The 27735-nt window shown below is 34.6% G+C and overlaps 1 protein-coding gene across 35 annotated transcripts in view; it reads right to left on the reverse strand.

Moving 5' to 3' along the window:
- Positions 1 to 27735, reverse strand: part of ARB2A (ARB2 cotranscriptional regulator A) — a 493975-nt gene that overhangs the window by 243036 nt on the left and 223204 nt on the right. For 28 of the 35 annotated variants that reach the window (NR_028080.1, XR_007058646.1, NM_001163418.1 and 25 more), the window contains one exon: positions 20710 to 20928. The exons of 4 other annotated variants lie outside the window; for them this stretch is intronic. Coding sequence is in view for 29 of the 31 variants with exons in the window: in NM_001163418.1 (NP_001156890.1) it covers positions 20710 to 20928 (219 nt within the window). In the remaining 2 variants the exon portion in view is untranslated. Of the gene's footprint in view, positions 1 to 887; positions 5463 to 20709; positions 20929 to 27735 lie in introns of those variants that run through there. 3 more of the 35 variants (XM_017009962.2, XM_005272111.6, XM_047417822.1) reach the window with 1 other exon arrangement.

The following is a 27735-nucleotide window of genomic DNA, read 5'->3' on the forward strand; positions in this document are numbered from 1 at the left end:
TCTCCTGCCTCGGCCTCCTGAGTAGCTGGGACTATAGGCGCCTGCCACCATGCCCGGCTAATTTTTTGTATTTTTAGTAGAGATGAGGTGTTAGCCAGGATGGTCTCGATCTTCCGACCTCATGATCCGCCTGCCTCGGCCTCCCAAAGTGCTAGGATTACAGGCGTGAGCCACCGTGCCTGGCCCACTTCTGTTTTCTTAGTTGCAAAGTGTGAACCTGATTAACTAGAGAAGGACTTTGTAATGCTTATGCTAAAATGAACACAATAAATAGCTGAACTCCAGTTTTGGTTTCAAGATGTATAAGCAACTAAGCAAAAATCACTATATCTGTTTTGAAAACCAACATATTCTTTTAAGTATTTCTTTTTTTGTAAAGGAATAATTTTATTTCTAATGTTAAACTTTCTAGTCAAACCATCTTCTCCTGAACCCAAACATGCATACTATTTCTTGCTTCTTTGTCTTTGCTTATATAATTTCTTCTGTTCTGAATACCCTTCTACACCCGGTTCCATTTATTCCCTTTAACTTCTACTCTTTTTTTCTTTTTTTTTTTTTTTTTTTTAGCTCTGCTAACTTATTTGAGATACATTTCAGGCATCACTTCCTCCACGAAACTTGCCCTGGATTTTCCACTTCACCCCCTAACTGGATTATGTACCACTTCTGCCCCCACTCCAGGTACGATGTGGAATCTAGCATAGTCCTTTATCATTGTTATCACTGAGTTGCTATGGGTAGGGTCATGTGTTCTTTGATTTTCACATCCCACGTGCCTAGCACAGTGCTGTTCAATAACTATTTGATGAAATGTTTAAGAATTTATTGGTTGAAGGTACTTTTTCTTTAACGTCTCTGAAAAAAAAATCACTTGGTTAGCAATCTTAGAACTGAACCATAAACTTTATTATAGATGGTTGGAGCTTGATACATACAGTTTTTGGCTGCAAAATATAAGTTACACTAACATGCTCAGAGGCCATCGTTAAGCATCAACGCTATATTTAGTCACATACATGATCTCACCTGCTTTGTTCTTCCCATATTCCCAGTCAAAATCCAGCCACATTTAAGTCTATTTAGTTTACTGATATACATTAGGCCATACAAAACAAAATGATGGATAGTATCCGTATCACTGGATTTATAATATAAAGTTTTTCTCATTTAGAAAGAGGCATACTCTTTTGATCATGTATATTCTATTTAGAAGTAATAGAGAACTTGGAACTAATGTATATTAGAACATTTGAATAAAGACAGGTAAAAATAAACAAATCTTTGCCAATATTCTTAATCTTAAAATTAAATGTTATGATTTATTACTTCCTTGATTTTAAAATTTATTACATAGTGAAATATATTCAATGGTATTTATGACAGAGTATATTTACAAATAGAAAATTCATTCAAATTTAATGATGCTTCAAGTACTGGAGCTACTATCTACACATTTCTTGTTAATAAGTACATACATTATATCAGTGTTACTGAAGTAGTAACAGCATTTCCACATCACAATAGCAGCAAAAATAAGTTCCCCTGAAAGTCTTAACCAGGTTTACCTGGACAATCTGTGCAATATACTACAATCTGAACTTACTTCTGTAAACAGAAAAATGAACCAGAGATTCCAGTATGAATCAAATAATTCCATCAAAGAAAACCTTGCTAAACAGACTTTTATTCAAGCCCTGAAAACATAGATGCATTAAATATAAGCCTTTCTTTTAAATAATTAGATATCTACTTTGGGGAATAAATATATAAGCTTTCAATTATTTCTTTAATGTGGGAAAATGCTAAAAATTATGTTATATACATGCTGGCAAAAGGGAGGCTGTGATTACTAGTGTGTGTGTGTGTTTGTGTATGTGTGTGTGTGTTCCCATGCACATGCATGTCTTTGTACAGGCACGGGAAGAGAGAGAGTCAAGAAAAGTTTTAACAAAGGAGGGGACATTAAGGTTAGGTATTAGATATAAGACAAGAACTTTCTAGATGATGTTTAGAATTTAACAGAATCTTGAAAAATCTCTGATAATACTGATGCTTCTTTATAATGTTCAACCTTTAAGTGTTTGAGTATTATGAAAGAAATATTTCCTTCCAAATGTCTTAAAAAACCATTATAAATTAAATGGGTAATTTTTCTGTGCTAATTTTTAGAATTATATTAACATATTAATTTAGAGAAACTGCTTGTTTTTGTTTGTTTGTTTTCCTAGAAGTAAGGGCCTGGAGAGATGAATCCAGAATATCCACTTCCAACCACCTACCTTTGACCAGTGAGAGAAGAGATGCCCCTTGCCTCGTGGGCTCTAGCTCTGGGCAAGTGGCATCTTGAGCAGGTACTGAACAAAGGACAGACAGACCATCCATGTTATATAGGGCAAGCAGAATCTGGGTATGAAGCCAAAGGAAACCCAGCAAGGACAAAAACTCCTCAGAAATAGGATGGAAATAGAGCCTGGCATAGCTGGTTGGATTTGATGGGGTCATTTCAGTGCCTTTTTTTTTAAAAGATGGAGTCTCATTCTGTCGCTCAGGCTGGAGTGCAGTGAGATAGTTTACTGTAGCCTCAAATTCCTGGGCCATCTTTCCACCTCAGCCTCCCGAGTAGCTGGGGCTACCGGCACATTACCATGCCCAACTAATTATCTATATATATATATTTATATATATTTAGAGAGGAGGGTATTGCTATTTTGCCCAGGCTGTTCTTGAGCTCCTGGCTTCAAGTGATCCTCCGGCCTCAGTCTTCTGAGTAGGTGGGATTACATGTGTGAGCCACTGCACCTGTCTGAGTGGCTTTTTTTATAGCATTACTCTAGCATCCTGAGTGTCCCCTGAACTACAGTGGAGAGAAGATTCACATTAAGGCTTTTTAAATATGGCATGTTTTATTACTAATCTTTCAAAAATGTTGAAATATCTTAGGTTAACAAGCAACTATTTGTTGCATAATTTTAGCTCAATGGTTGCTATTGCTATTCAAACTATTGACATAATTTAATATCACTTAAAATTATCCATTGAAAGAAATATGACACATATCTTCATAAATATATTTTTAAATATTTTCTTTAAAATTTTAAAATTTTTTGTTTTAGTTTTTTAGAGTCTTAAAAAAGTATTTATTTTCTCTAGTCACTAGATTCCACTGTATTGGTTTGCCCATAAGAATATCAGCTTGCCATATTTGTCAAAACAAAAAATGTATCGATCACCCTGTCATTTAACTAATATTTGGTGTACCCACTATGTGCCAGACACTGTAAGAGGATCTACCTAACAAATGTCAATAGTATCACAAGCAATTAAGAAAATGTAAAAAATCTAAACAGAAATAATGGTTTTTAATGAAAACTGCTAATCATTAACTTCATATTATATTTCCTAAAAGATAAAATGTAGGTGAAAATGTTTAATGAACTGTAAAACCTTATTAAAAGGTTAAGTGCAATTATTAATTATTACATTATTTCTCCTAAACAATGAGTGTTGTAAAATGAATATACCACAATGAATATATCATTTGGTGGAGGAGGTGAAAGCAAAAGAAGAAAATAATTAGTTAAGGGATATTAAATGGTTGTGACAGGTTTTAAATGCTCCTTATATGTTTGATTAGCTTCATTTGAACTAAAAGTAAAGGCAAAACAATTTTAAGTATCATTGATAAATACCACCACATTACTGGAAATTGAAGTATTTCAGTTTTCAGAATGTGTTAAAAACATCCAACAAACTAATTCCTTTTAAGTGCCAAATTTTGAAATGGTTTATATTATTCAACAAAACAATCATGCTACATAACCTTATGTAAAAAAATTCTTATAGAAACAATTTGCACAAAAATTGAGGTTCTCATTGCAATGATAAGTTGTATTTAGTACAGAAAATGTATATAGTCTCAAATTTTAAAATTCAATGTGGTTTATAACAATCTCTAAGTATTGAACTTTTATTACTAATGATATATCACTAGTTGTGAAGGACTTTCAATTTCCCATTGAAAAATAAAATTTTCCTAAAATCCTATAACATATGAATGATGTCAAAGTACATACTGTAATCTGCCTAATATTAGAGTTGCTTATGAATATCGTAGCCTCCCTGTTATATACTGTGAGCTCCTGGTAAAGAGGGATTCTGGCTTTTCTATCTCTATTTCTTACAGAGGGCCAGCACAATATTTTATAAATAGTACTCAGCTATTGAAATGAAATGTGAAGAGATCTGTTCCAACATGTGCTACTAAACAGGATACACATCTTCAGTTTCAAGACACATTTGATATCTTGATGTATCATCCTGGCTAATTTCTTTTTTTTTGAGACGGAGTCTCTCTGTCGCCCAGGCTGGAGTGCAGTGGCGCGATCTCGGCTCACTGCAAGCTCTGCGTCCCGGGTTCTCGCCATTCTCCTGCCTCAGCCTCCTGAGTAGCTGAGCCTACAGGTGCCTGCCACCATGCCTGGCTAATTTTTTGTATTTTTAATAGAGATGGGGTTTCACCTTGTTAGCCAGAACGGTCTCGATCTCCTGACCTTGTGATCCGCCCGCCTCGGCCTCCCAAAGTGCTGGGATTACAGCATGAGCCACCGCGCCCAGCCGATCCTGGATAATTTCATGTGAGTAGAAATTACATGCTTTATTCTTCTCCTTTTATCTTTAATATCTAGCACTTGTGACATGGTACATAATCGATGAAGGTATACTAAGACAATGTAACCTATAACTGGCATTGTACTTTTATCACACTACTAGTTATTTCAGGTATCTTGAAAGTACTAAAAGAAGTTTTAAAAGCAAAAAGCATACGGAAACAATTAGGACACTTGGGGCTAACATCTTTATTTAATCTGGCCATTTACTTCCTAGCTTTATCATCTATATTTATCATCTAAAGATCTACCTCTTCTTAATAATATGACATCCAGTACTGAAAGAATTCAAACCTGTTCTCAGTCTGCTTTGGGAAATAAAGGAACAAAACTGACTATAATGATGCATAAATAAGTAAATCAACATTTATGGAGGAGTCACTACTTGCCGAATAGTAGGCAGGTGATATTTATACAATTTGTGAGGTCAAATATGAGGTTAAAAGGTAGGAAAAACAATGAATGTCCACCTTATCGCTATGAGGGCTGCCCCATAAGGGCACTCAGTGTATACACAGCACAACTCCAGGGGTTGCTAGTAAGAATTATGTCCCCTTAAGAGTTATGCAACTAAAAGTATAATTAAGAGAAAAAACGTTGCTAAATAATCTATAATATGCTATTAATTCTTAAGATGCATCCCAAATTCAGAGATGTTAAAATGTGATAAAAGGTTTTAGGACCAATGAAAAAAGAGGATAATACAAGCAATCTTCAATTGGCCTTTCTTTGATGGCATCATTTTATCAGCAGTCTGTACAAGAATTTCTGAGGGAATTTTTTCACTCTCCTCTGTGAAGTCAAAATAAAGAACATTAGAAGTGAATGAAGTACCGTTAATGTCACAATTCAGATATAATGCACCAAGATTTTCAAATTTATATTCTTCCCCTTAGTTCTTAAAATTGATTATGGGAGGAACAGTGTTTTCAACTAACTTTTAGGTGCAAGCCTAAATTACTTATTGGGCACTTATACCTTTCCCTGCCTAATAAACATACACATATACACCCACACACACACAGAAACCCACATACACGCAGCTGCTGAGGAAAAGGCCAGAAGAGAGGCCACTTCAGAATATGAATGGAGAGAAAAAAACAGAGGGATGAACTGTGTGGGTCCAGTTATGAGAATTTTTTTCAACCAAAGCCAGATTGAAAAGTAGGCCATCTGTATATGCCGGTTTTGTATATGCAGGTTTTGCATATACAGACGGCCTACTTTACATATCCATGGTTCCACAGGACCAACTGTAAGACTTCCATATGCATGGACTGTGGTATATGCAGGGGTTCTGGAATCAGTTCCCTTCGTAAAGCAAGGGATGACTGTGTGTAATTTCTCTTAATCTCAGTTTCCTTATCTACATCTACAAATGAAATAGATGGGCTTTAAAAGTCTAAAAAATATCTACTAAGTTTTAGATATTATCTTTTGGAAACCTATTCTGGTAGAATCCTTCTATTAAAAATGTTCTTTCTTCCTAAACATATTCTTTATATAAAACAGTAAACAAACATGGCCTGAATGAATTGTACATACCCCTTTAATGTGAAAAAAAAATGCCTCATTGCTAAAAATTTAGAATAGCAACATTACAAAAACATGAGTTCCTCTTCTCAATAATAGCTAAACAGATTTTACTTTTAATAGATTTACTTATCAGTGTAAAATCTTAGTTCTAATGTTAAATTTGTATATAATGGTTCAAAGTCTGTGTTTTAAAAAAGTATTAATCTATTACATACCTCTGAAAGGTACTGATATTATTATTGCTATGACAGAACCAATATACTTTGGTTCAGATTCTAAAGGAAAAATAGTGACTGTTTATAACTGTCAAATTATTTTAAAGTTATTAAATATGATAGCATCCAAACTGATAGTTCTGTAATATTTCTTCTTATCACCTTATGGGAGAGAGGGGATTTTCTGAAATTTCACACAGAAATAACAATTATCAGACATTTAGGAAGTTACGTTTTATCTTATTTATTTATTTATTTACGGAGTCTCGCTCTGTCGCCAGGCTGGAGTGCAGTGATGCGATCTCAGCTCACTACAACCTCCGCCTCCCAGGTTCAAGCGATTCTCCTGCCTCAGCCTCCCGAGTAGCTGGGACTACAGGCGTGTGCCACCATGCCGAGCTAATTTTTGTATTTTGAGTAGAGACGGGGTTTCACCATGTTGGTCAGGATGGACTCGATCTCTTGACTTCGTGATCTGCCTGCCTCAGCCTCCCAAAGTGCTTTTAGAAAAGCAAATTCAGGTATAAGAATTATATTTAGGAGAACAAGAATTAAGGAAAGTCTTGGTTGATGACCATTTTGACTAATATTCAAGGGTAATTTTATCTTTGTTTTCATATGTTCCCTAAATGAGTCACTAATTATAATATATAATCTATTACTTTTCAAGGAAAAAAAAAACCTATTGTTTTCTTCTCATATTAAATTAATGAAAATATTACTGAGAATAAAATTAATATTACATAAGGTAGAACTGATAATGTTTTAAGCTGAAATGTCATGCTCCAAACAAATAAATCTAAGCATACAATTTCACATTTGCAAATACACATATGTAATTCAAATACAACTGAGATGCTGGGCATGGTGGCTCACACCTGTAATCTCAGCCCTTTGGGATGCCAAGGGAGGAGGATTGCTTGAGCCCAGGAGTTTGAGGCCAGCCTGGGGAATAGAGTGAGACTTCATCTATACAAAAAATAAAAAAAATTAGCCAGGTGTGGTGGCACATGCCTGTGGTCCCAGCTACTTGGGAGGCTGAGGTGGGAGCACCACTTGAGCCCAGAGGTCAAGGCTGCAGTGAACTGTGATCATGCCACTGCACTCCAGCCTGGGTGACAGGATGGGACACTATCTCAACAACAACAAGAAAAGAAATGAGATGAGTCTATTAGGGAAACACTCAAGTCACTCAGTAAACGTTACATTGCCATGCTATGTCACACATAAAGGATGCACACGGTAATGTTTACATCCATTGATAAAGCCACAGTGTGCATGCGTGAGTACTGAAACTGGCTAAACACCAAAGGATAGAAGAGTGAAGAGCAATATGCTGATTGGCTGACTACCAGGCAAAGTTACCTATAGACAAGCTGAAATCAGGGTGAGGATAAAAAAGATTCCCTATAGTAAACAAAGCACTTTTGGGTCAACTATATAAAACTCATTTAGGCTTTCCTTCATCTCCACCTACAAGGCTCACAAAACCCAGATGGACAGTTTGGGACTGAGGCAAAAATAATGTGCAAGGGCGTCTCACTTGAGGAGAAAAAAAATGTGGGTCCCAGATTCTAGAACCAATATATCTGCTCAATGCAACACCCTAACAATAGTCTTAGAATAAACTACTGTATAGAAGGAACTACTGCTTGTCTTTTATCATAGTGACTGCCTTACCAACCAAGGAAACTCTATTTCTTTAATCGCATTTCGACTGCCTTACCAAGAAAACTCCATTTATCTAGTCACATTTGTATACATATTTTATATTATAATATATACACAGATAACCACTTAGAGAAAATACTCACTATCGCAACCTGGTGTAGCGGGAAAAACACAGACTTTGCAGTCAGAATTGGGCTCAAATCTTGGTTTGGTTATTCTTATTAGCTGTATAACTATGAGTAAGTCTGTTTATGTCTCTAGGCCTCATTTTACATATCTGTAACATCAGAGTAATACACGAGACTAGCGTGATGATTACACAAACAACTACTGCTTCTAACCTGACAAGGGCCCCAGCAATGGGAAATGAGTTGGAGACAGAGGGCCTTAAGTTGCCCTTTCTTCCCAAGAAGTGGGTGAAGGTTGTGGGAGTAGAGAGAGGGGCTAATATGCATAACCAAATTCAAATTGAGGCACAGTCCATCTAATTGTATTTTACAGTTACTGTCCAATATTATCTTAGACAAAAAATGTTACCTTAGACAAAGGGAGCTCAATTTGAAGAATTAGGAAGAGCTTGGCCTCAGAAATAGTCATGGACAGAGGCAACTTGAATTGTAATTCAATTATAATAATAATTATAATTACAAGTGATGTTTACTGAGTGCATACTATGTGCTAAAGCAGGTACTAAGTACTTAATTGCATTACTTCTTTTAATTCTAACAACTCTATTTAGCAGATGATGGCCTGAAGCAACTGAAGATCCACAAAAGAAGTGAAAATAGCCTTAAATGATGACATTCCACCATTGTGATTTGTTTCTGCCCCACCCTAACTGATCAATGTACTTTGTAATCTCCCCCACCCTTAAGAGGGTTCTCTGTAATCTCCCCCACCATAAGAAGGTTCTTTGTAATTCTCCCCACCTTTGAGAATGTACTTTGTGAGATCCACCCCCTGCCCGCAAAACATTGCTCCTAACTCCACTGCCTATCCCAAAACCTGTAAGAACTAATGATAATCCCACCACCCTTTGCTGATTCTCTTTTCGGGCTCAGCCCGCCTGCGCCCAGGTGAAATAAACAGCCTTGTTGCTCACACAAAGCCTGTTTGGTGGTCTCTTCACATGGACGCGTGAGACAGCTAGAAAGCAGGCACAGACATCTGGGCTCTTTCAGCAAGAAGCCACCCATTCTAGAGAAAAAACGGAATGAAAGTTGTAGTTGCTAAAGCCTAAAATGGGCAAGTGATTCTCCACGGTCTTCTATTGTTGGAAGTGGATCAGTAGAAAACAAATTCTAATCCTCAAATTCCACCTGCTGGGTCACTATGGACTGACATTATCTTAGTTTCACCAAAGGGAGGAGGGAGGAAGGAGGGCAAACTGTTGGAGTAGTGTATATACAATGCTCCCTGAGTCCAGATCAAGAGTTTAAATGAGATAGATCCAAATGTCTCAATGAGGCAGTCCTACCCGATTCGATTTCTCTATTTCAGTTTACATCGCCGCTCATATTGAGTCACCTAATTTTGCATTACCTAACAGGCCAACTGAAATATGGTTTCTATTTTTATAAATAAATGTTAATAAACTGCTTTCTTTCATTGTTTCTCTGTTCAGCTCCAGAAAAGAGGCAAAAACCAGTGTTTTTAGACATGTGGTCCACAAACCTCTGGAGATTCCTGAGATTCTTTCAGGGGACCTGCAAGGTCTCTATTTCATTATAGTATTAAGACATTGTCTATTTCACTGTATTGACATTTGCATTAATCATTAAAAACGCAATGAAGAATAAAACTGCCTGTGACTTAGCACCTACGAAGGCAGTGATACCAAACTATACTAGTAGTCATAGTCTTTACTGCCACATAAGGGGGGGTGGAAGTGGAGGTTGGAGGGAAGCCAACTACACATAAATGTCAATGAAGAGTAAAATTTACCTCTGTTAAATCTCAATCCATGAGTATATATCTGTTTAATATTATGAGTGATGAAATGAAGGTATACATAAAGCACTTGCATACCAAACTATGCTATGATGACAGTCTGGAGGAAAAGCAGTTGTGCACTTGATTGCGTTTAGAGCTAAAGTAGTTAACTTTCTAATGGAATAGCATTTGTACTTGTAAGACTGATAGACAAATTATGATTATTCGGATTTGGGTAATTTGGAAGGTATTTTCTTGTAAATGAACAAAGTAAGCCTGACAATCCCATTCAAGAAAAACAACTGATGGTATTTGTGGTCAATGATACAAACTGAGCTTTCTTGTTAAAGTTGGAATTTTGGGAAACTTTTATCATCACTGATAACTTTGAGAGTTTTTTAATTCTTAAAGCTTTTCTGATGATACTGGTGGAAATATTAATGGGTAGGATTTTTTTATACTGTGTAATAAGATGTGTCAACATTTACAAGATTTATGTAACTAAGTGAAACAATATTTTCCAAATGACCAATGTATGATGTTACAAAATCATATATGGGTAAAAGATCCATTCAAAGTACAAGACAGACCAATGGATTTTTATGAGTATAAAATGTGTTCTAGACTCCATACTGCAACTAAACTTTAAGAAATAACTTCCTTTTTAGTGTGGGTATAGCATCAAAGAAGAATATACAAAATTATCTGAAAAAGCTATTAAAATAGACCTTTCTTTTACAATTGCATATCTGTTTGAGGCCGAGTTTTCCTCAAAAACATCAATGAAGACAACATATTATAAGAGAGGAAATATAGAAGCAAGTATAAGAATTCAGCTGCCTTCTATTAAGCCAGACATTAGATTTTCAAAAATGCCATATTTTTCATTGTGTCTTTCATTTTAAAAATACAGTTATTTCTCATAAAATGCTATTTATGTCATCATAGGTTTATTGTTATTTAAAAATAAATATTTTAAAATGTTCTCATTTTTAATTCCTTTCAATAGTAAACATCAATAGATATAACCCATATAAACAAAAACCCCACAGTGACCTTAATAAAGTTAAACATAAGCCAATGGGAAAAGACCTTACTCTGCCATAATTCTTCCCATGTTTCCTATGGGAAAGGAGGAAGGGAGGGATGAGAAAGGAATTTTTTCTTTTTTTTTTTTTTTTTGAGTCGGAGTCTCGGTCTATCGCCCAGGCTGGAGTGCAGTGGCGTGACCTCGGCTCACTGCAACCTCTGCCTCCCCGGTTCAAGCAATTCTCTTGCCTCAGCCTCCAGAGTAGCCGGGACTACAGGCGCGCACCACCATGCCCGGCTATTTTTGTATTTTTAGTAGAGACGGTGTTTCACCATGTTGGCCACGCTGGTCTTGAAATCCTGACTTCAAGTGATCCGCCTGCCTCGGCCTCCCAAATTGCTGGAATTACAGGCACGAGCCACTGTGCCCGGTCCCACTGGTTGTTTTCATACACATTAATTTACATCATTTATTCCTTATAAAAGTCTAACAGATATGATTATCCCTAATTTATAGATGTAGGAACTGAAACAGTGATTTTTGCCTAAAGTCACAGTTGGTAAGCAAAAAAATTAAGATTACAGTATGTATTTGATTCTGAAGTGCTTATTCTTTTTACCATATCATATTTATGACAGACCCCCACCACCCTAACTGGTCAGTGTCCAACAAAAACTCATAAATGCAGAGCTTCGGTCTTTATCATAATTTTTGTTTGAAATCCAAAGGTCTAATTCTTGAACTGATTTCTATTTCTTCATTATTGGCTTGTTTTACCAAATCCAAAGAAGGCTGGGTACACTTAATAACGGCTGATAATTGGCCAGGCGCGGTGGCTGATGCCTGTAATCCCAGCACTTTGGGAGGCTGAGGCGGGCGGATCACAAGGTCATGAGATCGAGACCATCCTGGCTAACACAGTGATACCCCGTCTCTACTAAAAATACAAAAAATTAGCCAGGCACGGTGGCAGGTGCCTGTAGTCCCAGCTACCCAGGAGGCTGAAGCAGGAGAATGGCGTGAACCCGGGAGGCAGAGTTTGCAGTGAGCCGAGATCGCGCCACTGCACTCCAGCCTGGGCAATAGAATGAGACTCTGTCTCAAAAAAAAAAGAAAGAAAAAAAATAATGGCTGATAACTGAGCTTCCAACACAATGTACTAATTTTCCAGTGTCAGCACACTTCAGTATAATATTCAAGAGTTCTTGCAATCTCATGCTACTCAACATCAAAGGGTAGATTTATACAAATAGGCAAAGGCCTGTCTTCATAGGTTCATGTAAACAAATAATATTCATTAATCAAACCTTTATTTTAAAAATCTCCTGTGCGTCAGGTGTGGTGGCATGCACCTGTAGTCCCAGCTACTTGGAAGGCTGAGGCAGGAGGATTGCTTGAGGCCAGGAGTTCTACACTACAGTGAGTTATGATGTCATCACTGCATTCTAGCCTGCGTGACAGAGTAAGACCCTGTCTCAAAAAAAAAAGGGGGGGGGGAAAGAAAGGAAAGGAAAGGAAAGGAAAGGAAAGGAAAGGAAAGGAAAGGAAAGGAAAGGAAAGGAAAGGAAAGGAAGGGGAAGGGGAAGGGGAAGGGGAAAGGAAAGGGGAAGGGAGGAAAGGAAAGGGAAAGGAAAGGAAAAGGAAAAGGGGAAAGGGAAAGGAGAAAAAAAATCTACTGTGTTTACTAGGTTTTGGAAATATAAAACATGACAATGTAAAGGTTAATTTCTGGTAATTAAAACAGAATTATGGCCCTTTAAAGGCTTTAAAATTAATCAGGCTTGATCACAGTTTCCCTTTTAAATGAAAACTCTAAAATGAAGAAACAGGTATGCTTTGGTGAACAGTTAATGATTATATTTTAAGACTGCCTTATTGAATTGTTAGAAAATGCATATAATAGTGACCTTGTCAGGTGGGAGCCACTCCTCTCCTGGCCTCATATGGAGGCACTTCAGCTAGAGTTAACATTCTTAGTTTCTCTCCCCATATCCCATTCTTTCTTTCCCTCAGGAAGAGTGTGACTTATCTGATTAGCACATTTAGGAAAAGAAACTGAACATGCTCAGCTCAGCTCTTCAGGGCATCTTCCAAATAGGTTGCAGAAAGGATGAATTCTACTTTACTTTCTACCACATGAAAGGCAAAGGGAATGTTTGCAGGATAAGGGGAAAATTCATTTTCGGGGGAATATATCTGGAAGTCCATTAGCTACAGATCTAAAACAAATTTTCCAGTTGAACTGTATCAATTTTTAATGATGGTGTTTTGTTTCCTTTTGTCTGATTCCTATGTAATATTGCTGAGTTCCAAACTGCAGAGTGTAGCACTGAGGTATTATTTTGGAACAATGTTGTACTGTAATACGAAAACATATTTGGTCTTTGTCCCTGGTTCCTGGAACAGAGCTCCTAAAAGGCTTGAAAGCTCATGAGTCATAGAGTGTCTTTTGTTATTCATAACAATCCCCTGAAAAAAATCCATCACTGAGTTTATGCTAATGAGGTGACTTAGACTGGGGCCTTTAGATAGCCTTAGGATGGGACTGGTCACCAGAAAGACCCAGTGATTAGAGGGTACTTTCAGCCTCACCCACTGGTGTCCAGGAAGGGGAGAGCTTCCAGGTTAGTAAACACACTGATGTGCAGCTGGGAGGGTGGCATGCTGACAGAGGGGACAGAAGCTCAGTATGCCCTTTCCCATCCATATACCTTGCTCTATGCATTTCTTCCATTTGATTGTCCCTAAGTTGCATCCTTTATAATAAACTGGTAAACATAAGTATTTTCCTGAGCTCTGTGAGTCATTCTAGCAAGTTATTGAAACTGAGGAGGTGGTAACAGGAACCCCTAATCTACATTCAGTTGGTCAGAAGTATGAGTGGCTCCTCCAGGACTTGTGACTGGTGTCTGAAACAGGGGCAGTCTTGTGAAACTGAACTCTTTAGGCAGATAATGTTAGAACTGAATTGAACTACTGGACACCCAACAGAAATTGCAGAATTGGTTGGCATCAGAGAAAACACCCCAGAAAGATACTGAAAGGTACAAGGGCCAGGGACCTTAAGAATTGGATTAGTTCTCAATTGAGTCTCAACTTGAGAAATGATGTTATTTATTAGCCCTAAAGCCCCAAGACTGTGTGCCAGATGCTATGTTTGCTTTACACATATTATTATTACTTAGAGATGAAGTCTTGCTATATCAGGTTTGAGTTTTGCTAGACTCAAACTCCTAGGCTCAAGAGATGCTCCCACCTCAGCCTCCTGAGTAGCTGGGACTATAGCCATATGCTAAGGCACCTGGCTACATATATTATCATCATTCTACTTTTCAGACAAAAACTCAAGTGCAGGGGTGTTAACTTGAGGTCACACTATATTAAATGGAAGAGCTGGAATTCAAACTCAGGTCTATCGGACTGCTTTTTTTTTTTGAGACGGAGTCTCACTCTGTCGCCCAGGGTGGAGCACAGTGGCGTGATCTCGGCTGGCTGCAACCTCTGCCTCCTGGGTTCAAGTGATTCTCCTGCCTCATCCTCCCAAGTAGCTGGGATTACAGGTGCCCACCACCATGCCTGGCTAATTTTTGTATTTTTAGTAGTGACAGGGTTTCACCATGTTGGCCAGGCTGGTCTCGAACTCCTGACCTCAGGCAATCTGCCCATTTGGCCTCCCAAAGTGCTGGGATTACAGGCGTGAGCCACTGCAACCCAGCCTCGGACTGCATTTTTAACCTCATCTCCATACTATATCTCTACAATGGTATGATTCTGAATGTTATTCATACACTAAAACAGGAAATAAAAAGTTATTATTCACAATTTGCCTTCAATGACTACAAGCTTTAAGTTGATGTAGAGAAATATAAATGCCTTGGAATGTATTATAGAAAACATTTACAATAATACATTTTTATGCTGATTATTAAGATACTAACTAAGCCTCTTTTTCTTCTTTCCAGCTATATTTTAAAAGATCTGGGGGCAAAAAAAAAAAAAGAGACTAAAGATAGAGTTAATTGGGGTACACAAGTTTCTAAGGGAAGCAAAATCCGATATGAACAGCAGCAGCCCCTTGTGGTCTAAGGGGAAAAGCAGTGTATCTGTAGTTATGGGGGGTGAAAATATGTTTTTTAAAAGAATATATGTACATATTTAGCCATTTGACTTAGTTCTCAACCCAACACATTAAAAAACAGATGCTTTAAAAAATAATCTGTTGCCAAGAAGCTTGTTAAAATTTTATCAGTTGAGATATTAAAATTCATTATGAATTAATTAACACATTATACAAAAATAAAATGTTTTTGTTTCATCGTTTTACAAAGTACTATAACCAGTGGTGATTAACACTGGGAATTTTGTGTGTCTTGGTATGTCTTGCTCAAAAAGAAACTAAATTTATAGGATTACCACTAAATTGATGACATTTTCTGTTTTCACTCTTGAATTCTGTTGGCAGATGTTTTTGAGAACAAAAAATTCCATCTTATTACAAAACATATTAAGCAGGTTTTCCTGCCAGGCAAGTCTGACATGATGTGTATTGCCTAGACCAAATCAATCCCCTTAATAAACCATAATATATGCTAGCAAGTACACTATTTCATAGTTAAGAAAACTTGCCACATGAAATAGTAAGTTCTTTGATCTCTCATGCTCTGCTCCTAATGTCTCAGAAAAGTGCTACATAATCTACCAGTCATATCTATTTATACTCAGCAAGTAAAATAAAATTATACTTTGCTAATCTTAAAGTTTTAGGCCCAAATTTACTTTTGCCTGTGTATACTAGATACTTGCAAAAATTTGAAAGGAGACTGGCTATTTACAAGATACTAGAGAAAAGAAAATCCAAATACTTGAATATACTTGGAAAATAAAATAGTTTCAGAAATTAAACAATCATTGTTTGTAATACAAATAAATTGAACTTGGTTGCTAAAATACTAGATAGAAATGACTTCAATGGCATTTGCACAGAAGAGATTCAGAACTGTGAACATACCCCAGTCAGAACATCAAAAACATATTTTTGGAAAGAAAGCTTTAGTTTATCAGAGTTGGCTGTTTCTAAACTATTGCAAAAATTCACATGAATGCTGAAAAAAATCAATCAGAAAACTAGGCAACACCAACTATCTTACATATTAAAGAATAAGATTTTTGACGGATGTCAACAAATAATTGATAAATATTTAAGCATCTCTATGTGCAATTCCAGGCTTTGCTAAGATTTCTATTCTGTAAATGTTTCTTTAACATTTGGACTTTTCGTTTTGTGTCCATGTAATTCTCTTCCCCTCTATCCTTAGCATCTGTTTTTGCTTTCTTTCAGAGGCTGGGTCTAATTCTTCTCCTTTACTTCCCATCAGTAGAGTCTACAAATAAGTCTCACTTTAGGAAAGAGATGTTCAAGCACTTCCAACCCAACATTAGACAGATCAGCATCAAGTCACTTTTGCCTATACTCTACACATAGTCTCTAAAATTCTATTAACTGACCTTCCTTGATTTAGTTGTCCTCTTATGCTCCAGTTTGATAACAGAATAACCTTCATTCCTATGCTGCAGGTTCCTTTATCTAGGTATCACTTAGGCCTAATCTTGTTGTTTTGTTCTCCATCCAAGGGATTAAATTCTAGTATCAGTTCCTGACTCCCTCATAATATGCTCTGTACTAATGCAAAAAGCAGCACATATCTGCTTTTAAGGATTGACATGCAATGCCAAAACATATAAAGCACGCTCAAAGATCTAAAGGATTATGGGGAGATCTAGTGGAGAGGCATGAAAATAATTGGTAATATTAATTAAATTATTAGACAAAAATACAAGAGACATATCAAGACAGTACCTGGTAAATTCCATGTAAATTAGCTAATCATTATACATTCCATGAGTCTCAGTAAGGAGGGGTCATCGGTTATAGTGAGAGGAAGAGGTGGCATTTCAGCTAGGCACTTATAACGTGGGTTGTAAGTGGATAGAATTTTGGATTCAGGAAAGAACAGAAATTGAAGTTACAGATTCCATAAAGCACAAAGTTTGTACAGGGTAGAGTAACCCCAGCAGCCTGGCTGTACTCTTAAGAGCAAATGTGTAACACAGAAATTGCAATGGGTCAGGTTGAAACATTTCCATTTTCATCCATAATTTTAGCAGTATAATGACATAGCTCAAAAGGAAAATAGGATATTCTACTTTTATATATTCAGATGAAAATATATAGTTCAAGGTATCAAATAATGACCTTATACCATTAATTTTTGGATTGTAATCTCAGCTACTGGATTGAGTGGGAAGTCAACAATTGTAGTGCTGTTTGACTTTTTGTTTTGGTTTGTTGGAATGTTTCCTCATAGAAAATCAAGCTGTATACTTTAATAATGCAGGACATATTTTAAAAAGTGGTAGTTGTAGTGAGGGGTTTTAATCCTGGCTCTACCACCTTATTTAAAATTTATTGTGAAAGATCTGCTCTACAAATATTTATTATGAAGGCTCTGTTGTAGGCTCTGGGATACAGTAGCGAGCAAAACAGACTAAGTACATGCCCTCATGAAGCTTATATTAAGAGCTATGTGACCTTTGAAAAATTACTCAAAGGGGTGTGTGTGTGTGTGTTTATGGTACAAACAGGCTTTATTAGTTGCAATGGAAAGTGGCAGAGGGGAGGATATGATAGCTCCTGCTCCTGGGGCAGGGTCCTCAGACTGAGTTTCCACCCTCCAAAAGCTAAAAATTTTTGACCCACAATCTGATCTGTAAATTTGGATCAGTATTAGTCATACTATTTGTAGAGAATATATAAATATATATACATATTTATAGAAATACTTACATTTATACATATAAATTGTTTATAAACATTTAAGAAACAGAGTCCATTAAATAATAGCTGATCAAAAATCTATCTTTGTCATCAAATGTTGTTTACTATATTGTATCATACATTTACTACACATGGCTTAATTTTCAAATTTCAGATACATATTTTGTTTTCAATCTACAGAACAATGTGGTAAAGAAGAAAGAGGGGAAGAATCTACAGTAATTACTAGTCCTGGTTTCAACAAGTAGATTTATTATCTACCATTTACTAGCTTTGTGATCCTAGACTAACATTTGTGCATCAGTTTCCAACTATAAAATCAGGACAAAATGATGTGATTCATCTACCTATTAGGCTGTCACAAAGAATAGAAGATAATTTCAAATTGTAAATTGGTAAGAAGTATATAAATAAAAGTTAGTTTAGTTCCATCATATAAAATGCTCTGTGTCTGAAAATTACAAACACTTGGTATTGGGAGATAAGTAGAGAGAAGAAGAGCACTAGCAGAAGTCATTTCCAGAATGGATCAAAATTACTAAGGAATTAATACACCTCACACAAAATGAACCGTTCTTCTCTTTCCCACTACAAGGCCAAAACTTACTATCTAGAAGTATGTTTGAAGAGTGTCAGCACATCTCTGCTATTTTGCAAAATTCCAGAAGATTTTAAGAGAAATGATGTTTACTAAGAAAAAACATTTCATAACTAAGACCATCGATACAAAGTTGTATTATGTGTTTGGGCCTATTTTTGTCTTTTGGTGCTTTTGTTGGGAACTTGAATTGATGAGTGAAATGGGACAAAGAGGCAAAAAGACTTAGAAAAGAGGGAAAAATGACAGGAGTCTAAAAGAGAGAAAATAATTAAAAAGAAAACAAAAGGAAAGAGAGCAGGTCTTAACAATGAAGCAACATAAAAAGAATGTTGTTTCCTTGGTATAAGAAAAAATAGATGAGAGGAAAAACAAAGCAGATGTGAAAAACAGAATAAAGAAAATGCATGCATAAAGAGAACAAAAGAAAAAAAGCAAAGCAATGGTGACAAGATAAAGACAAAATAGGAAGAAATAAACTTACGGGACAGATGTCTGATATCTGAGATAGATGCTTAATCTGTACATGTCACAGGCAAAAAAAAATTGTTTAAGAAGAAATAAACCTAATATACAATATCATTTTGTTTGCATTTTACATAAACAAGTAGGTATTCCTTATAATTTTATATTTCAAAAGCCTTATATAATTCATTTCTGGAATCTGGATATCAGAGGTAATCTTTTAAAAATTTTAACCTGTCATAAGATGGTGGTTTACAGACTGGATCATATAGAAGGAAGCTTAGTACAACTGATAGAGAAGATGGTAACATCATGACCCCGATGTAATCATATGAAAGAAAGGGGGTGATATAACCGCATTGGAACAAACAAGCTACTTATTGCTTCTAAATATAATAAGCGTTCTTGCTTTTCAAATAATATATTAAATAGTGAGATGCTTTCTAAAAATTTAAATATTATAATCTGCTTGATTCACTATATGAGCTGCTTTGAGAATTCCTTGTCAGGATACATTTTTGGGGTCTTGGGAATATATATGCTGTTTTCACCACTGCTTAACTGTCATAGCTTACTCAATAGACTGACCTATAAATAAAATATTTTGAATGTTTAAAGCACAATTCCAAAAAGTAGAGTGATTATGCCATGAACTAGAATAATACAGAAAATAAAAACTTAGAAAGCAATATATTTCCCCTAAAAGGTAGTATGAAACATTTTATTAATGATCTTCTAAAGTAAATGTAAAAATAGTTCAAGTTGAATAATTTGAAATGTTACTACTATCCTATTGTATAATTTATAAAACGTTATTTTCTCTGTGTTTAAATGTTCTGAATTGCTCACTTTTGAGGACTATTTCAATATACTATTTTTCTTAACCCGTAGCATTTTCGACATGCTTTACTATTAAACTTCTAGCATCCATAATAAGGGCTTTGAAAATTGACAAATGTCTCATATATATAATTTATAGTATGCATGTCAACATTCTGAATATGTCCAAGTGTAAACAAAATTGTTTGTGCCCCCTACAGAATTAGAAATCCTTGGGCAACACTGCTCTAATGATCCCATACCGTTAGTACTACAAAGTGTAAAAGTTCGCTGGGTAGGACAAGAGAAAAGGACAGAGTTCCCTCATTACACTATCCCTACACTATTTTGGCTTAAGTATTTATTAAGATATTAATTACTCTTCCTCCCTCTATCTGCCTTTAGACATTAGGCTGAGACACTGTAGATAGTTGCTCATCGTAAAACAATGCATTATCCAGTAAACCTTACCCCCCAAGATGAATGTTTTGTATGGAGCATTATTAATTCAGCAGGTGATATGTCTTAGAATTGTGAGGCTACATATACTCTCTCTTATGGACAACATAACGGCATGTTATGCTGATGCTATGTTTCCTTAAAGAAACAGCGTGTTTGGAAACTGAATTGGCAAGTTTTCTGCCTTCTGCATCCATCACAATAAAATTATTTTAGAAAATTTTTCTTGAGGTAGTATATGACACAAAAGGAAACAGAATTTGCATTTGTGACTTCTATAAAATGTCACACTGAAATAAGAATGATGCGTTTTGTAATTCTGAATTTAAAAACCCATTTAATCCAAGTAGACGACTATGGGAAATAAATGATGACAAATAAAAAAATTAATATTCTTGAAGAAAAACAAAACAATCTACATATAATAAAATATATACAAGGTAAAGAAAATAGTAAAGGAAAGTAGTGATCTCACTCACTCTGATATACAATTGCATCATTTCTTTTTCTCTTTGGGGGTTACGATACTTCTCATAGAAATCACGTCGCTTCTTTGTTTCTTTAGAAACTTTATCTTTTCTTTCCCGTTTTTCTGCTGGTTCATCTGAACTATCAGATGATGACTGTACGTGTATCTTCGGCTTTTCTACTTCAATATAGTTTTCATTGGGATTTAGTACTATTACTCCATATCCTTCCTGTTTTGAAATGAAAGAAGGTAGCATAATTTAAATCTTATAATCCATTTCAATTTTCAAAAAAGTTCTTAAAATTTCAGTCTAAGCAATTTTTATATAGTTGCATATTCATTAAAATACTCCTTTAGGCAAGATAATGATTTTATTTTTTTCAAAAGAAAGTCATTTAAAATTGTTTGCCTTTATTGTGTATATAAATAAGCTTTTATTATTTATAAGAACAAAAAATATAATTGCAACATAAAGATTATAAAGCTTAAATTAAAAAACTAATTCAGATATCTCAGAACCCAAAAATGACTGAAATAAATTAGCAAATAATTTATTTTCAAGTAAACTTTCAAATTATATTAATATTTATACTATCTGTTTTGAGAAAACAACCTCTGAAATCAAAGTTTACAATTCAAACTACATTTTTTTGTATATTTTTCTTTACAATGGCCCTTTCAAGAGCATTTTTTATTTGTCTGAACAATTAAAAAGAATAAGCAGTTAAAAAAGAATAAATCTGATTTAACATTACAAAACCATCCATACCTACATTATTATAAAGACATAACATCTACTTGTGTACCTTGAATTTTATTCACTTTGTTTCTCACAGGAGGCCAGAAAAATCATGTAGCAAAATAAGCCACTGTCTTACTATAATGTATGGAAGCAAGTCTTTAATCTTAAAATTTCTTTCATTTTTCAACCTACCATAAAAATTCTCTTTATTAAAAACTATAATCAGGAAATAAGCAAGGTTCCAAAGTTAAAAAATACAGCTTGTTGAGCTATTAAGGCTTTTTTTTTTTTAAATTTGTAAAACATGTTTTCCTGTCTCATTTCTTTCTAGCCTGGCAAACATTTCTGTGGTTATAATTAAGAAAACGTTTGATATTTATATTATGTCTAATGGAATAAGCTAACCATGAGAAAATATAGAGAGGGATAAACAATAACCATTGACAAGCATGGGTAACACAAATTTTTGAAGCTATTATATATCTTGTCTTTTCTATTCAGTTATGTGTTGTGAGGTTCCAATTATGTCCTTGTAAAATACTATAAGGTCATATTTAAAAGATGTATGATATTATAATAAAAACATAAGAGCTACAGAAAATAGCTCACAAAATCTATTTATTAGAAAATCTATTTAATAGAAAATAAAACTTATAAAATCTCATCCTTACTTAAAATAGGTAGTATATATAGTTTTTCAAGACAGTAACTGTAGAATCTTCTACTTGAAGTTTAAATTTTAAATTTTTTGCCAAACCAACCATAAGATGATTTTAAAAAATTGACAGCAGTAATAGTAAACCAGTAATAGCACAGACTCAATTATCTTATTTTAAAATATGCTGCATTACTGCACATGGTTGGTTTTTTTAAACAGTTGATTTCACAAACTACTTACAAACTTCTTTGGAATTGTTTTCTATTTTTTCCTCCATCAGATGATATTATTGTCTAAAACGATTATTTAGTTTGGAAATTTTCAAGATCACTGAAGTTCTGATTTTAATGATAGGACTATTAATTAAGATACAGTCATCTTACATATATGGAAACTATATAATAATATATAGCAAACTGATTTACAAACCACCACCCATTCTTCAACAGATGTTCAAATAAAGCTTTTAGAATAATGCTTCTTTCACAAAAAGCTTATAAAACACTTTACACATTCTGTAATTTAAACTTTCTACATCAAAGCAAAAGAGAATTTTTTTTAAAGTTTCTTAGCTCTAAGTCAAAAGTTTTACCAACAAAAGATATTTTATTTGGTCCTGCTTTATTCTAATCTGTATAGCTATTCAAAAGTCTTGTAATTCATTGTGATCACTGTCAGGTAGACAGATTGTCACTTGGTGATTTTCTACAGTTGGACACACTTGACTAGTTATTAAAATCACATTTGAAGGAAGTTCCTACCCCTCTTCCTTGTGCCTCTTACAACTTTTCACGCCCTTCTCAAATTTCAGCTATAACTTCTCCTCCCACCAAAAGTAAGTTAAAGAACACTGTTGCACTCTGCTAAACAGGGTGAAATAGAGGCATTCAGTACACTGTCTCTGGTGTAAGGAACATAGTCAAAAAAGGTCACCATAGGCCAAAAAGAAAATTGCCTCCCTACTAGATTCTGTACCGTGAGTAAGTGGTCTCCTGTCATGTTTCTTCCTTGCCTTCTCTGAGTGAATTGAACTTTAAACACACATACACACATACACATACACATACACACACACACACACACACACACACACACACACACACACACCACCCTCTCATACTCAGGAGTTAAAATTAGCAAGACCAAAATAGAATCTTAAAATTAGTAGAGATGAAAATAGTGATATACTACATTTTAATGATAATATGAAAAATTTCAAATTCAAAAACTTCACTCAAGGTAAAAGAGTGGGACTTTAATAAGCTGAAATAACATGGCATCATCTTTGTATAATGAATAAATCTCAAATAAAGGTAAACTCTTTGAACAAAATTTACAGTCACCAGAATTGTAAGACTATTATCTTATTACTTAATCAAAAAAATAATATTTTCATATCTGGCTTATTTGAGCAGAACTTTAAACTTCAATTTTTAGAAATCATAGATTGAAAAATTATCGTGCCTACTTAATTTGAAATAAGACTCTGAAATTTGATATGTTCCATGTAAATAAGTATTTTAAAAAAGGCATTTATATATCATCAAAGAAGCAGTATTTGTCTAAGTAACTGAAAATTACATGACTCATCTGTTCAATATCATAAAGGCACAATGTCAATGTTTCCCTTAGGCATCAACAGATGAGAAATGATTCTATTTTTAAATCACCACTATATAAATCAATTGAAGATTTGTTATCATTTAGATTTCAACAATGGATGCTTCTATTTAAACACCCAAACTATTTAGAAAATATTTTATCCTTTAGATATTTCAGATTGCCAATTTAATTAATGTGACAACAATCAAGAAATACTCAGGAACATTCTCTGTAGAAATGAGAGTGGATTTTAATAAATATCTTTGTTGCAAATTCAATTACTGTTCTGTAAAAAAACTAACATTTAAAATTAAAATATTTCTGTTAAATTAATTAATGCAATATTCACAGAGATCATTCATAACCATTTTGTAATGAGTAGCAGAAAGCAGGAGTAAGAAAATAAAGTTAACTATCCCACCTATGTGCTCTAACCACAGATATATAGTAAAACTTAATGTTTCCCTTCTTTTCTCTGTCATATGTAACACTGGCAAAAATTTCCTTTATATAAGCTACCAAGATTTTTGCCATGTCAACATCAATATATGGAAACTAAAGAGTCAAAGAAAATAGAGTAAAACAAAGCAAAGACAAAATGTCACTAGTTAAATTTTACTGTTTTAAATTGAATAATATCAACTTCCTCAAAAATCAGACTAAATACCATTTAAAAAAGTGATTCTTTCCATTCCCAGTAACTCAATCAGTACACAACAAAATTAGTAAGAAGAGATGCTAGTGTGACCTTTCATGAATGTACCCATAAAGTTTTATGAAACTACACTATAATATCAGGCATCAAGTATAATATCTTAAAAGAACTGTGGGTTGCTACTCTACTAAGGAAGGCTCCATAACTTATGCTTAGACTCTTAAACATTTTATGTTGAAGTACTTCTTTTATATTTAATTATTCCTTAAGTATGCTACATTTCTTATACGATAAAAAGTTAGGTCACTTCAAATATACATCGAAACCCTTTCTCTTATCTTTGAAAAGATAAAATGATCAAATCAATTATCTAGCATTCTACAACTAAATAAATAAAACTTCTGGCATCCTTTATAATGATTTACCAAATCAATTCCAATATCCAACATTTCAAAAGACAAAGCATACATAAAGTTGTTAATTAACTCATGTTTGATCACAGTCTAGTAGAAATTAAGGTGATCAAGAGGATATATATTGGTAAAAGTAAGCTTTATATCTTTAATTCATCTCATTCCATTTTTATACTTTTGTTGCTATAATTCTACTTTCATTTTCAGACCTGTGTTTACAAGGTATTAACTATGGGATCTTAATCAGAAACCCTTAAAAGTTCATTCCTAGACATAGCATTTTATTCAGCAAAAGTACTTGTGATTTAAATAGAATACACAGGTCTTTAGGCCTTCTTTACTTTGAAGTCTGTAGATGCACTTACTAATAAATAATAAATCATTTATCATTCAACCAACAAATGATGGCTTAGGTCAGAGAGATCTAAAACAAACAGGTGATGACAAACACAAAGAACCAAAAAGGAAAACTTTGATAGACAAATTATATCAGTACAAAAACGCACTTATCAAGAAGATTCTGTAAATAGATAAAACATTAAAATGCACGACCAAAACCAGACTTCTGACCCCAAATGAAATCTGATAAAACTGAAGACTTATCCACGTTAATTTACCTACTCATTACCAATTATAAGAAAAATGGAAAACAGGCAAATTCTACATCTTTTCAACTATCTTTTGGTTGGCTAAATAAAAAATCAGCTGAAAGTACTTGGCTCTGCATATTAACCTGACAATACTGCAAGCCACATGTGACCAGAGAGGTCAGGGGTTAGAGTGGAATCCTTTGACCTATGGAACTATCTGCTTTGGTCTTCAGGCAAGGCTCTGTAAGAGATCATTTTACACAAATTTATCAATCATATTTCTCAAGTTCAGCATTCTATCTGCTTGGTTTGAAAGAAGATAGGTGCTCATCCTCAAGGGAATTGAAACCCAAAGTGCTTTATCTATAAACGACATTTACCCATAGACAAACCACTGTCCATTCATCTTTTCTGAAAGATGTATGTTGTATTTATTCTCATCTGTTTCCAAGAAGGGTATGTATATGTCACTGTTGCAACATCCTAGGTGCAACAGTGAGATGAGGTCATGACAACCAATCAGAAGTCACTAGTGAAGCGTTAAAGTAAACATAGCTGTTGGAACTGCAGCTCTGCTTGAAAAATGCCCCCTCCATTATTTTAGCAATTTTCTCAAGACGTGACCTGGGACTGAAACGCGTGAAATGTCACTTGACTCCGTTTTGTGTTTCTTCTCAATGTGCATTTAGGAAACAGTACTCTACTAATATTTTGTAAAATGTTCTCATAACCATACTTTAACTTGTAGCTTCATGAAATCTAATGCTGTGTGTGTTCCATGGTATAAAAATACCATAATATGGACCAACATAGATTATCCCAGTTAAGTTTCCAACTTCAAATAAAGTTTCCAACTTCAAATAGCTCATCAAGTTAGTCAGTAAAAGAAAACATGCCACAAAAAGTTTTCAGAGGACCACCTGTTGTCTATTATTTTTACATAGCACTTACTCATAAATCATAACACAGGGTAATTAATCAAGCTGTCAAAGAGAAGGTCAAAGGTTATATGGTAGAGTCAGAAGGTCATGCATGGGCTGATAGAGGTCAGGGTCACACTGCATTCCTCATTATCAAGTTGGGATGAGAGACGGCCCAAGCAAACAAAAGTGAAAGCAGATGGAGAAGTGAGTGGATAAAAAAAAAAAAAAGAAAAGAAAATTTCACAAACAAAAAGAAAAGTGAAAGAAGACTGTCAGCTGCCTTCAAATAGAGAATAGAAGAGAAAAGAAATACACTGAAATGTGCTCAAAGGAGCTCAAGAACATAAAGAAACTACAGTTTTATTAATTAAATAAACTGAATATAACTTTTCTTGACCATTTTATTAGTAGATACTAAGCAATATTAGAAAATACGTGTTCGGCATCTGTATACCTTCTCCAGTTAGATTAATTCAGGTAAGGCAAAGAGTTCCAAGGATGAAGAATAATTTACAAAAACAAACAAACAAACAAAAAACTTACAATAAGAGAGATTATCCCCCCTAATATTGTGTGAGGGTTATAACACAGATGCAGATAGTTTTAAGCCATACAACAGATAAATTCTTGAGTATGATACAAAGATACCCATAAACATAAATGTATCATAAAAGTCCTTCTGAATAACAAAACAGTTATAAAATATTCTATTATTATGTTGGCCTGAATTAGATGCAGAATACTGTGCAAAATTAGCTGTCACCCTTTGCTCAAAATCTTTGTTAATCTCATTTTGAATGTTTGCAGCTTTATCAACACATGCATCAATGTCAGCTCCTTGGTTACTGAACCGCTGTAGTTGGAAGAAGATATAATTAAAATGTTTTGGCACACAAAAGGTGAAATTGTATCTTCCCTTGTTCCCTTAGGAGTCTGTAAAACATGAAGGATATATTGACAAACACACACCCTTGTCTCCAGTTCTGACATGTCAGGTCATCCAAGCACTATTTATTTTAAAACATGTGCTTTGCACTTACCCATATTATCACCCACTCCATTTCTAACTTTTCCTGGGTTTTAGAACATTATGTTGCTTAAATCTTGCAAATTTCTCTGCTATTCACAATTTACTTATGGAAAGATTCTATAAATCTACAATAGTACCATTAATACATTTACCATTCATTTTTGAGGACAGAAATATGATTTAATACCATAGTTTTGTGAAATCTTTTATATTCTTTGCTTCTCATTCTCATAAAATGACACAAAGGTATACCCACACGTTTATACATTAAACTAAAAAGAAGTAACAAGTTAAAACTGTTGCCCAGTCAATGATATATCAAAATCCCTAAATGAATTTAGGAAATCGAAAAGATACCTCTTTATTACATGGTCTAAAGAAGACTTGGATGGGCAGATTCATCTCATTAACTTTACTATTCCT

Source organism: Homo sapiens, chromosome 5 (assembly GCF_000001405.40).
Source record: "Homo sapiens chromosome 5, GRCh38.p14 Primary Assembly".
In the NCBI taxonomy this organism is placed as follows: Eukaryota; Metazoa; Chordata; class Mammalia; order Primates; family Hominidae; genus Homo; species Homo sapiens.